This window comes from Homo sapiens, chromosome 5 (genome assembly GCF_000001405.40).
Source record: "Homo sapiens chromosome 5, GRCh38.p14 Primary Assembly".
NCBI lineage: Eukaryota > Metazoa > Chordata > Mammalia > Primates > Hominidae > Homo > Homo sapiens.
The window spans coordinates 70,711,621-70,725,751 of record NC_000005.10 but is presented as its reverse complement, the minus strand read 5'-3'; the positions used below and the strand labels follow the sequence as shown (position 1 = coordinate 70,725,751).

The window sequence follows — 14,131 nt, the reverse complement described above, 5'->3', positions numbered from 1 at the left end:
TAAATATCTCAGCAAAAACCTTACAAGCCAGAAGAGATTAAGGGCCTATGTCCAACATCATTAATGAAAATAAATTCCAGGCAATAATTTTATATTTCACTAAACTAAACTTCCTAAGTGAAGAAGAAACAAATTTCTCCTCAGATAAGCAAATACTGAGGGAATCAATTTCAACTTGACCAGCCTTATGAAAGGTCCTTAAGGGAGTGCTATACATTGAGTAAAAAGAATGACACCTGCTACCACAAAAACCCACTTAAGTACATAGCTCACAGGCACTATAAAGTATCTACACAATCAAGTCTACCTAAAAACCAGCTACAAACGTGATGATAGGATCAAAATCTCATGTATCAACATTAACCATAAATGTAAATAGGCTAAACACCCCCACTTAAATGACATACAATGGCAAACTGGATAAAAATGCAAGGCTCACCATCTGCAGTCTTCAAGAGACTCACCTCATATGTAATGACAGCCACTGGCCCAAAATAAGGGGATGGAGAAAATCTGCCATGCAAATGATAACAAAAAAGCAGGAGTAACTATTCTTATATCAGATAAAACAGACTTTAATCAAAATTAAAAAGAACAATTGAAGAATGAAGAGCATTACGTCATGAGAAAGTATATGATCAAACAAGAATACTTAAGTACCCTAAATATAAATGCACCCAACATGGAGCACCCAGATTCATAAAACAAGTTCTTTTTGGACTACAAAAAGACAGACGACCACCCAATAACTGTAGGAGACTTCAACACCCCCGCTGGCAGCACTGGATCATCAAAGCAGATAACTAAGGAAGAAACTGTGTACTTAAACTTCACCCTTGACCATCTGGACCTAATAAGACATCTACAGAACACTCCACTCAATAACCACAGAATATACATTCTTCTCATCTGCACAGGGAACATATTCTAACATTGACCACATGCTTGGTCATAAAGCAAGTCTGGATAAATTTTAAAAAATGAAATCATATCAAGCACACTCTTAGATCTCAATGTAATCAAAATATAAATAAATACCAACATCTCTCAACACTACACAAATAGATGAAAATTAAACAACTTTCTCCTGAATAACTTCTGTGTGAAAATCAAAATTAAGGGAGAAATTTTAAGAAAGTGAAATTAATGAAAATGGGAACACAAATTACCAAAATCTCTGGGATGCAGCTAAATCAGTGTTAAGAGGAACGTTTAAATGCCTTTATCATAAAGTTAGAAATACTTCAAATTAACAATCTAACACTACACCTAAAGGAACTAGGGAAGAAAAAAAAAAGAACAACCCTACATCAACGCTAGGAATGAAAAGAAACAACTAAAATAGAGAAGATCTGAATGAAATTGAGATGCAAAAATCCATACAAAAGATTAATGAAACCAAGAGTTGATTTAAAAAAAGAGATTGATAGACCTTTAGCTAGATAAACAAAGAAAAAAAAGAGAAGATCTAAATATATAAATCAGAATGACAAAAACGACATTAAAAATGGTCCCACAGACATACAAAATAATCCTCAGAGAATACTAGGAATAACTCTAGACACAAAAATTAGAAAATCTAGAGGAAATGGATAAATTTCTGAAAACAGGCAATCTTCCAAGATTGAATCAGGAAGATACTGAAATACTGAAGAGACCAATATGAAGCTCTGAAATTGAATAAGTAATAAAAAATCTACCAAGCCAAAAAGCCCTGGACTATATGGATTCACAGCAAAATTCTACCGGAAGTATAACGAAGAACTAGTACAATTCTACTGAAACTATTCCAGAAAAGTTGAAGAGAACGTACTCCTTCCTAACTCACGCTGTGAAGCCAGAAGCAGCTTAATACCAAAACCTGGCAGAGACGCAAAAAAAAAGAACATTCAGGTGACCACTGTTGACGAACATAGACTCAAAAATTCTCAACAAAGTACTAGCAAACTGAATCCATCAGCAGCATATCAAAAAATTAATCTACTATGACAATACAGGCTTTATTCCTGGGATGCATGGCTGGTTCAACATATGCAAATCAATAAATGTGATTCACCAGATAAACAGAATTAAATCAAAAACCATATGATCATCTCAACGGATGCCGGAAAAGCTTTCAATTAAATCCAGTGTCCCTTCATGAAAAAACAAAACAAAAAAAAACCCTCAACAGTTGAGGCTTCAAATAAGCATACTTCAAAATAAAAAAGAGCTATCTACAACAAACCCACAGCCAATATAATACTCAATGGGCAAAAGCTGAAAGCATTCTCCTTTAGAAATGAAACAAGCCAAGGACATCCACTCTTACCACTCCTATTCAACATAGTACCAGAAATCCTAGTCAGAGCAATCTTGCAACAGAAAAAGAGAAAAGCACCCAAATAGGAAGTAAAGATTAAGGCAAACTATCTGTCTTCACCCAACAATATCCTTCTATACCTAAAAAACCTTAAAGACTTCAACAAAAGTCTACTAGAAATGATAAAGGATTTTAGCAAGGTTTCAGGATACAAAATCAATGTACAACAATTAGTAGCATTTCTATACAACAACAACATCCAGGTTGAGAGTTAAATTAAGAACACAATCATATTTACAACACCTAGGATGAAAATAAAATCCCTGCAAATACAACTAACCTAAGATGTGAACGATCTCCACAAGGAGAATTACAAAACACAGCTGAAATCTGAAGCTGGATGCAGTGGTTCATGCCTTTGGGAGGCCGAGGCAGGTATATCGCTTGGACCCAGGAGTTTTGAGACCAACCTAGGCAACATAGTGGAACCTCATCTATACAAATTTTTTTTTTTTTTTTAAATAGCGAGGCATGGTGGCACATGCCTGTAGTCCTAACTACCCTGACGGCTTGAGGCCAGGAGTTCAAGCCTGCAGTGAGCTATAATAACTCCACTGCATTCCAGCCTGGGTGAAAGGGTGAGACTCTGTCTCAAAAAAGGAAGGAAATAAGAAAAGGAAGGAAGGATGGAAGGAAGGGAGGAAGGGAGGGAGGGAGGGAAGGAAGGGAGGAAGGGAGGGAGGGAGGGAGGGAGGGAGGGAAGGAAGGAAGGAAGGAAGGAAGGAAGGAAGGAAGGAAGGAAGGAAGGAGATTTTGATAACACAAATAAATGGAATAACATTCCATGTTTACAGATTAAAAGAATCAATATGTTAAAATGGCCACACTGCCCAAAGCAACTTGTAGATTCAAGGCTATCTCCATGAAACTACCAACATCATTCTTCACAGAATTAGAAAAAACTATTCTAAATTTATATGGAACACCCCCAAAAGCCAGAATGGCCAAAGCAATTCTGAGCAAAAATAATAAAGCCAGAGAGGCGTCATACTACCCAATTTCCAGCTATACTATAAGTGTACACTAACCATGATACTGTTACAAAAGCAGACACTTAAGCCAATGGAACAGAATAGAACACTCAAAAATAAAGCTGCACACTTACCACCATCTGGATCGTGGACAAGGCCAACAAAAACAAACAATGGGGAAAAGGCACCCTATTCAATAAATGGTGCTGGGATAATTCGCTAGCCATAAGCAGAAGAGTGAAACTGGATGCTTACCTTCCACCATACACACAAATTAATTCAAGATGGATTAAAGGTTAAAATGTAAGACTTCAGATTATGAAAACTCTAAAACAAAACCTAGGAAATATTTTTCTCGACATTGGCCTTGGCAAATAATTTTTGGCTAAGTTTCTAAAAACAATTGCAACAAAAACGAAACTGACAAGTGAAAGTCAATCAAACTAAAAAGCTTCTGCACAGCAATAGAAACTATCCACAGAGTAAACAGACAACTTACAGAATGGGAGAAAATATTTGCAAACTATGCATCTGATAAAGATCTAATATAACAAATCCATAAGGAAGAAAAAATGACAAGCATAAAACAACCCCAGTTAAAAAGGGCAAAGCTAATACAGGAGCAGAAAATCAAACTCCGCATCTTCTCACTTATAAGTGGGAGCTGAACAATGGGAACACATGGACACAGGGAGGGGAACAACACACAATGGGGAACAACACACAACACACACTATAATTTTCTGTAGGGGGTTGAGGAGAGGGAGAGCATCAGGAAAAATAGCTAATGCATGCTGGGCTTAATACCTAGGTGATGGGTTGATAGGTGCAGCAAACCACCACCACACACGTTTATCTATGTAACAAAACTGCGCTTCCTGCACATGTACCCCAGAACTTAAAATTTAAATCAAGAAAAGGCAAAGGACATGAACAGATATTTTCTCAAAAGAAGACACTCAAGTATATGAAAAAACACTCATCCTTACTAATCATCAAATAAATAAATGCAAGCAAAAACCACAGTAAGATGCCATCTCACATCAGTCACAACAGCTATAATTAAAAAGTAAAAAAATTAGATGTTGGCCAGGCTGCAGAGTAAAGGGAATGCTTATACACTACTGTTGATGGAAATGTAAACTGGTTCAGGTACTGTGGAAAGTATTTTGGAGATTTCTCTAAGAACTTAAAACAGAGATACCCTTCGACCCAGCATTCCCATTACTGGGTATATATTCAAAGGAAAATAAATTATTCTACCAGAAAAATATACATGCACTCGTACGTTCATCAGCATGTTATTCACAATAGCACAGACATGGAATGAACCTAGGTGCCCATCAAAGGTGGATTGGATAAAGAAAATGTGGTACATATACACTATGGAATACTATGCCTCCATAAAAAAGAATGAAATTATGTCCTTTGCAGCAACATGGATGGAGCTAAGGACATAATCCTAAGCAAATTAGTGCTGGAAAAGAAAACCAGATACCACACATTCTCACTTATAAGTGGAACCTAAACACTGAGCACACAGGAACATTAACATGGGAACAAGACATGCTGCAGGCTACGGGGGTGGGGGAAAGAGGGGAGCATGGGCTGAATAACTACCTACTGGGTACTATGCTCACTACCAGGGTGCACTGTACAAAAGTAACAAATCTGCATATGCACTATCTGTGTCTGAAAAAAACTGAAATTATAAAAACCAAGAGAATATGTTTCTAATGAACGTAGACTTTATTTGATGGACTGGATTAGAATATAATTTTTTTTAAGGGGAAAGGCATTGGGGGATGCACAATGTCTACAGGTTTCTAAACCTCTCTGGTTTCTCACCTAATTCATAGTCTCTTATGTCATTTTCATAGTTTTCATATTCTGCCTTTCCACCTCTTCTTTTTAACAAGTAAAATTCCTCATAGCATACAAAAAAACAATTTTATAAAAAACCCATATTATAGATCAGGGACCTGTGGATTATATGCTATTAGAACTATACAAAATGTCTCTATATAGTTTTCTGTATCTTTGGAATATCTTTGGGTGAAGCTGCAGACCTTCTCGGTGAGTGTTACAGCTCTGCGCAGAGCCAAACAGTGAGCAGCAGCAAGACTGCAAAGAGCAAAAGAACAAAGCCTCCACACTGTGGAAAGGGACCCTAGCACGTTGCTGTTGCTGGCTCTGGCAGCTGCTTTTATTCCCTTATCTCACCCCACCCACATCCTGATGATCGGTCCATTTCATAGAGAGCTGATGGGTTCATTTTACAGAGAGCTGCTTGGTCTGTTTACAATCCTTTAGCTAGACACAAAAGTTCTCCAAGTCCCCACCAGATTAGCTAGACACAGAGCACTGATTAGTGCGTTCACATACCTTGAGCTAGACACAGCATGCTGATTGGTGCATTTACAATCCTCCAGCTAGACGTAGTAAGTTCTCCAAGTACCCACCGGACTCAGGAGCCCAGCTGGCTTTGCCTAGTGCATCCCGGCCGCGGGCGGAGCTGCCCGCCAGTCTCTGGCGCGCTGCCGCACTCCTCAGCCGTTGGGCGGTTGACGGGACCGGGTGCCGCGTAGCAGGAGGTGGCGCCCGTCCCCTCGGGGTGGCGCGCGGGAGCCTGCGGTTGGGGGGCGGGGGGCGGGGGGCGGGGGGCAGGGGACGGGGGCGGGGAGGAGGGTGAGGGCTCCAGCATGGCAGGCTGCAGGTCCCGAGCCCTGCCCCCTTGCCCCGCGGGGAGGTGGCTGAGGCCCAGCGAAAATTCGAGCGCGGCGCCGGCGGGCCATCACTGTTGGAGGACCCAGTGCACCCTCCGCAGCTGCTGGCCCGGGTGCTAAGCCTCTCACTGCCCAGGGCCGGCGGCGCCAGCCGACCGCTCAACAGTGCGGGGCGCGCCGAGCCCGCGCCCACCCGGAAGTCGCGCTGAGCCCGCGCCCACCCGGAAGTCGCGCTGGACCTGCGAGCACCGCAGGCAGCCCAGGTTCCGGCCCGCGCCTCTCCCTCCACACCTCCCCGCCAGCAGAGGGAGCCCGCTCAGGCCTCAGCCAGCACAGAGAGGGGCTCCCACGGTGCAGCTGCGGGCTGAAGGGCTCCTCAAGCGCGGCCAGAGTGGGCTGAGGCCGAGGAGGCGCCGAGAGCCAGCGAGGGATGCCAGCAAGCTGTCACCTCTCAGAAATACAGGAAGAACATCAATAATGTTCGAAGTTATAAAGTAGTAGGTTTCTATCAAGAGTAAAACATAAACGAAGTTATAAAGTAGTAGGTTTCTATCAAGAATAAAACATAAACGATCAAAGAATTCCTTATAAAAACATTTTTTATTTCTAGGAATCAAAACATAAATATAAAATTTGAGAGTCCACCAAAAAAAATTAGATGCCAGATTTCACTATAATTATCAGGGAAGCGCCCAAATGGGTTGTTTACGGCGCCTCGGGGAAACTTTCTGTTTCGTGTTAAGGGTCTTGAACCATGATGTTTAGAAAACCATGGGCTGATGCTTTCAGAACCTCTGTGATTTTTGCCTCTGACACTGCATCCAATAGACTAGCATGTTGATTAGGGAAAGCTAAATTCAATAAAAGACGACTGTAAGTGGGGTCACCACCTTGAGGGGTCATGTTAGAAAAGTAGATGATAAGGTGGTATTGATAGAGTATTGAAGTCTGGGCTCAAATGGTTGCCCGGGGCCTTTCAAGACCAATGACTGATAAGAATAGGTAATGTTCAGGACATAGAGTTTAGGATTGGGGGACACTGTGAGTTAAGGGCCATGACAGAAGTCTTCATAAGTAAACTGTTAATTGACACAAGCTGCTACCTGCCCAGGTGAGCAATCTGTTGGCCCAGAGGAGAGTTGCTTACTGACATAAATTGATTTGCAGAAATTTCCTGAAGCAAACAATAAGTTATTTATTGGTTTGCAGCCTTACTTTCCTGAAAAATAATTTTCTGGAATGAATTGTGAAATCATGTTGACACAGATGGCCTCAGGTTTCAGTTCGGATAATTAAGCTGTGTAAATATAGAAAGTCGAAGGTTTCTGGGTGCTGTTGATTCACAGTATGCAACAATGATCATATTACTTTTATTTACTATGAGCTTCAGCTGAAAATCCAAAAGAAACTTTAATTTCAGATATTTAATGAAATCATTATAGCTGTGGTAATTTCCTTTAGCTGGGTGTGAGTGTGTGATGTGAGCGTGTGATGTGTGTGTGTGTGTGTGTGTGTGTACTCTGGCAGCATATTCCAAATAATTTCTGTAAAATTTCAGTTTGAAATTAATAGAAGACATATTAAATTGTTTAAACTCTTTGTTATTTAAATTCTATATTACTTTAGTCGATTACTCTGTATTATTACGGCAAAGCTTTGATATGTTGCCCTGAATTTAAATGAAAAGGCTGTTCGGCCTAAAAACAGGAATATTTTATTACCAAAAAGAATTAACTACCATATGTCATTTACAGAAAAGAGTAAATTCTTCAGGGCATAGAAAATACACATTTCCTTCTGTTTGTGTGGAAATAAGCAAAATACCTGTTATAATAGATTCCTCACAGAATTTTGTGAAGCTTCAGGTAAACTTGAAAGAGAAAAATTAAAATGCTAGAGTTTCATAATTACAAATTGGGATATAAAAATAGAATAATTATTTGAATTTTGTATTTCTCTCCAGGGGATCAAAAGTAATATATAAACTTTTAATAAATATTGATATAGCTTCACGTTGACTCCATATGTGAGCAATTTGCTTTCTGTTAAATTCACAATTGCATAATTTTTTTCAGGCTGGAATGCACTTGGATGCCAGAGATTTTGATTTCTTCATGTGACATAAGATGATAATACATTCCAAAGTATATATTTTTTCAACTTTGAATATATCTGGTGTATTTGGAGTAATATCTGAGTAAATACACTTATATGTAAGAGAATCAAAGGAACAAGATATTATTTTATATCCAAGGAAATTAACACTTAGAACATAAATACGTATTGCATTACTTCATATTAAAGAAATGTTTTACAAAAGAAAATAAAGGAGCTTATTTTATAGCCCCATTTCCACAAATAATAGCAAAGGTACATACACATATCTAATGTTTTACACACTCATTATTGTTTCTCTTAAAATTTGTTGCTTATACTATTTTAAAAGGCAAGCCTATAGATTGTTGTGTGTATATACATATACACACAACATACATATGTGTGTGTGTGTGTGTGTGTGTGTGTGTGTGTGTGTATATATATATATATATATATCAGCAAGCAAGAGAATGGGCCTCTTCCTACTGAGGTTTAACATTTGCATGTATATGTATATTTTGATTCACATAGACTTATTGTTCTTTAATTACATGAACAGTGATTCCTGGTTACATTATTGGAAAATGGAAGCAATGCTCAAAGAGCATCACCTAAATTTCCATCATATTTTGCTCTCAATATGTTTTGTACATCCAAATATATTGTGATTAATCTGCATACATTTTTGCTGTTCTAGGTGACGCTGGTATGAGGCTAGGTAATACACGACCTTAGTCTGCATGTTGTACTTGTGTAACACACATAATTTTACAGTGCTAACAGGTGCTATAATAACTAACTATAGTTAATGATGAATGAAAGAAGGAAGATGTTAAGATGTTAGGGAAGGACTCAAAAGATGCAGTGCTTGAGTTAGAATTTTAAGGGAGATTATGCAAAAGCAGTCACTTAAGGTGGGTCGGGATGATCTAGAATGTGGGAATGATGTATGCAAAGTCACACAGGAGAGATACAGCATGCATGTTTAGAAAATTGTTGATTACATATGGAAAGTTTGCAGGACTTGCATCCTAGAATGTCAGGATTTTAAGCTAAGTAGGGTTCAAATTAAATTTTTCACATACTTCGCTGCATTATAATAACTAGTTTATGTTTAACTCATCCACTAAACTAAGTTATTTGAAAAGAGATGCCAGTGTTCACTCAATCTAGTTGTCTGTCATTAATAATTTAAAAATAATTGAGATTTTAATTTTGGTCTGCTAAGCCTGTTTAATTAAAATTTGACATTAAATAAGATTTTACAGGCCTCATTTTTTTTTTCAGTCATCACAGTTTGAATATTAAACATTACTACTTTTATCTCCCTCAGTCAGCATAAAACATACTACTTATGGTTTTAATAACCAAATTCAATGAGCACCAACAAAATTTGATGTAACTATTAACTTTGAAATTTTGTTGAAATAGAACTATGCCTTGGGTATCATTCAAAGCATTTAATTGTTGCAATAAAAAACTTTGAGATAAATTGAAATGATGGACAATATGGGTCGAAAGCAACACTGGCTTGAGGGAATAGGCTAATGTTTGAGAACAGAATTGTTAAGGACAAGATTGGATGTTTATATTACTTTAGGAAAGACACACTCTAATGGAGTTTAATTCTAAAATGTTTAATATTATGAAAATATTATATGTTATATGATCATTATAGAAAATTAAAAATATAAGAACATCAGAAGCAAAATAGTCAAAGTCTACCTAAACCCAATTAGAAGTGAATACTATTAATCTTGATTTGCATGTTTCTAATCTTATTATTATCAAATTAATAAACAGCTTTCAGATATTCTGCTTCTCCCTGTTACTAGATCAGGATAATGTCATTTATGTACAGGCATCTCCTGCTTACTCAGTTCAGCATTGATCAATAAATATTTTAGACTTCTATTCAAAACACTTCCATTTTTCTTTTGCCCATATTCTTTTTATTCAGTGCTGCCTGTTTTCAAATACACAACACTTTGTCAAACAAATTCCAACATTAGATTGGATATAGTTGGTATCAGAGTAGTAATACACATTGCCATTCCTAATCCTCAGTGCATTGATCCTGAAAATTATTTGTAAGAATAGAAAAATACTGGATATTTCAAATTAAGTCTCATTTTGTTGCTTACCCATGAAAGACTGGAATTAACCAACATAACCATTACAAGGTGATTGAGCAAATGAATAGATGGAAAATATTATAGAAACTTTACTGCAGTTCATCAACCATTGTGGTCATTAGGCCATAGGAAAATACAGTGTGACAGTACCCCTGTCTTCTTTTCCATTTGTTAAGTCTCATATCCAAGTAACAGTGGGTAGACCTTATGAGAACCCAAAGTGAGATAAAAATAATTTTTGGCTTTTCAATGTATCTTATTTGATCTAAGAGGTATTTCCCCGACTTTGATGCAATAATTCTTGTCACAAAATTTGACTTTACTGAAGACCGTTTTAAGGATCTTTGCAGCTGACAGCAGTGACTTTTTTACCTCCTACAAAGTTTCAACTGACAGTCTTATTGTCTCTGACTTTCCCAAATTAATGACATAATTAGTCACCAGGGCTTTGGCTGCTCAATAGGGATTTAGTAAGCAATGAGTCATATGTTGGGGAACACTTCAACAAACAAAATGTTGGCAGAGAAAGATGTATGAATCAGCTAGGAAGAAACACTATTCTATCACTGAGGATCTTTCTAATATTAGATATCACAGAAAAATTTTCATATAGATTACCATATGAGTGAGCCAAAACCTCTAGGAACAAAAAAGCTTAGTATAATTATAACTCCTTGCCATGATTTAACTTAAAATTTCTTTACTTATTTAGCAATTCTATAAACAAGAATCATTTCTGTTAAGGATACTAAGGAGAGTGTTCCTATTGAATCAGAACATTTAAAAGAAATAATTGAGGGAACTCACACATGTAAAACGTCATTAACCAAACTAAAATAAAATGTGAGGGCATAAACTTAACCAGAAATGTTTAAAACCTATATATAAAAAAAACTAGAAAACACTTCTGAATGGCACAAATTTGGACTTGAGCACGGGGAAAGAAATTCCATGCTCTTGAAAAAGCCTTAAAATCATAAATGTGCCAGTTCTTTAAATAAACTTATATCTTCTGTGTCATAACAAAACGACATTTTCTAGAATTTCTTTTTCCAGATTTAGAAAAATAGACAAATTTACTTGGAGGAATAAAGAAGCAAGAATAGCTAGAAATATCCTATAAAATCAATGGAATTTGGAGTCAATACAAAATATTAAGCAATTCTTAAAGCTTCTATGATTAAAATGAGTTATAACTACAGATAGATGAAGATCATATAGAAAATCAAGACATTGACAGATATGGAAAGGTGGTATATAATGAAAACATTTCAGATCAATGAGGGGGAAATGTTAACCGGAAAAGAATATTAAAAAGGCAATGAACTCAATAAGACAACAAGAAGCAAACCACAGAAAAATAACTGGACTGGATTAGAAAGAAAATATTTTAGACACTTCAAAAATAAAATATTCAAATAACCAATGAACTTATTAAAAGGTTTTTATTTATATTGGTTACCTGAAAAAATAATTCAAACCACAATGAGATGTAAGTACTTGTCATTCAGAATCCTGAATTTGAAAGGAATATTTTAGAATTCTAAGTTGAAGAGAAAGTGCAAAGTATTGATGAGAATGTTGACTAATTAGAACACTCAAATTGATGTTATTGGCATAACTTAGTTCAAATAATTTGGATAAAGATATGTATTAGGCCCCAAAATTCTACTTGTAAAGATGGTTTCTCCAGAAATGCATGCATATATATAGCTAAAAAAAATGTGTACTCATGAAAACACTTTTCAGAATAACACCAAAATAACCCCAAACTGTGGCCCAAAAGTGGACTAAAATACTTATAAAGAGTACAGTAAACAAATAAGTTGTAATATGATCACCTAATAAAATATTAGAGAAATAAATATAAATAGTTTCATTTGCAGGTCATATAGTCAATTCGTCTCACAAATATAATATTAAGCAAAAAAATGTGGTTCAAAACACTACACACACTATTTGATTCCTTACTGGTAAAAGTTAGAATAGTGTTATGTTAGGAGGGATGGGTGGAAATCAGGTGTGTGACTATTACATTTTCTTATTCTGGATGATCATAGTATTTTAAAACTCACTAAGCTTTAAACTTATGTGCATTTACCCATGTGTATACAATACTTTAATAGAAGCTTCAAATCAATGAGAAAACATGAAACTGTCTGATGGAAAAATAGCTTGAGGAAATGAACAGGTATAGCAGAAAAGAAGGGCTGCATATAGTTTAAAAACTTGAAGAGATGTTTAATCTCTTTGCAAATAGAAAAACATACGCATTTAAATTGAAATACCATTTTCATGTTCCAAAATTAAAATTATTAGAAATATGATGGTATACAGTGATGGTAATATGGGAGAAAGGAAACATCCTAGGCAATTTGGCTAAGCTTTTCTGAGAAAGATTTAGGCAATATGCCATTAAAAGATTTAATGTGAACAAATGGGAAATTTGCCCACATAAATAAATGGAAAGATACTCTATTTTTCCTAATTTAATCTGAAAATACCTAAGCCCCTGATATTTTAGAGACATAATTTTCACTGCGATGGTCATAATTTTAAAAGGTTGCATCATCCATTTTTAGTTAACATATATTGTACTAACATCACATATCTATGTAACAGAAAAATAGAGTCAACTCATGTAGGGACAGACATGAAAATGACAAATACATATAGAGATAGAAAGGTATCTTGTGCATTATACTGAGAAAGACAATAGAAATAAACAATTTACATGGGTTGATTTATTTTGATTAAGATATATAAGTGGTTAGATAAATGTTAAATAGGTCAGTATGTAATTACAGAAAATGACAAATTGTTATGTATGGTACATTTGTAGGCATAACACAGACATTACATTTTGGAAAATTGTGTTCTATGCAACAGTGCCAAGTCTAATGAAAGTAAGAGGAAGAGGAATTCAGCCAAAGTACCAACCCCTGTTATCCATTCCTTAAGAAAGGAACTTCTTTATACACTCAAAAGAGGGGATTCTTTTTAAATTTGTTTCCAGAGGGGCATCTGCATACACATACACATACACATACACACACACACACACACACACACACACATTTACATTATATTTAAATGTGTGTGCATGATATATATATATACATGTATTTATTTATTTAATATATATGTGTTATCTGGGTCCTATATAGGAACACACACACACACACACACACATTTTGAATCAAACACTCTTTCGTATAATTTTGGTGACAAACGTATGCAATAAATGAGAATACTTTAACTTTCCAAAAAGCTATTCAAAAGTATAATTTTCAAATAAAATATATGTTTGTATGACAACAAATGATTTTTTACAAATAATATATTCTGCATTATCAATCTGCCACTGGTTTTTATTAAATAAAAAAACCTGTAAGTTTGTATGCTCTTAAAATACATATAACATTTGTAAGAATAGTTTTTGTGTAAAAATAATTATAGTTCACTATAACTATGTTAAAAATAGACATAGCCAGGCAAGTCGCTCATGCCTGTAACCCAGCACTTTGGTAGGCTGAGGCGGGCAGATCACTTGAGGCCAGGAGTTCAAGACCAGTCTGGCCAACATAGCGAAACCCCATCTCTAATAAAAATACAAAAATTAGCCGGGCATGGTGGCCCATACCTTGTAATGCCAGCTACTCAGGAAGCTGTGGCAGGAAGATTGCTGGAACCCGAGAGGCGGAGTCTGCAGTGAGACAAGATCATGCCACTGCACTCCAACCTGGGTAACAGAGTGAGACTCTGTCTCAAAAAAAAAAAAAAAGAAAAGAAAAGAAAAGAAAAGAGAAAAATAGACACAGATGAAGGGTGTCTTTGATT

General features: G+C 36.2%; 1 long non-coding RNA gene and 1 pseudogene across 6 annotated transcripts in view, besides 1 other annotated feature; one reads left to right on the top strand and one right to left on the bottom strand.

The window, feature by feature from the left end:
- The window catches only part of GUSBP16 (GUSB pseudogene 16), a 153,001-nt pseudogene extending 147,038 nt beyond the window's left edge, over positions 1–5,963 (bottom strand). Inside the window, exon 1 of the transcript NR_146391.1 lies at positions 5,719–5,963. The product of NR_146391.1 is annotated as a GUSB pseudogene 16 (transcript). The remainder of the gene's footprint in view (positions 1–5,718) is intronic.
- Positions 5,849–6,665: an enhancer, noted in NCBI's record as "OCT4-NANOG-H3K27ac hESC enhancer chr5:70014914-70015730 (GRCh37/hg19 assembly coordinates)". NCBI's record gives its function as "activates a minimal SCP1, AML or CMV promoter by ChIP-STARR-seq in primed H9 embryonic stem cells {active_cell/tissue: H9 hESC(primed)}" and the evidence as "EXISTENCE:reporter gene assay evidence [ECO:0000049][PMID:30033119]".
- LOC107986355 (uncharacterized) overlaps positions 6,226–14,131 on the top strand; it is a 102,717-nt gene continuing 94,811 nt past the window's right edge. For all 5 annotated transcript variants that reach the window (XR_001742421.3, XR_001742420.3, XR_001742423.2 and 2 more), the window contains exon 1: positions 6,226–6,556. This is a non-coding gene — a long non-coding RNA (uncharacterized LOC107986355). The remainder of the gene's footprint in view (positions 6,557–14,131) is intronic.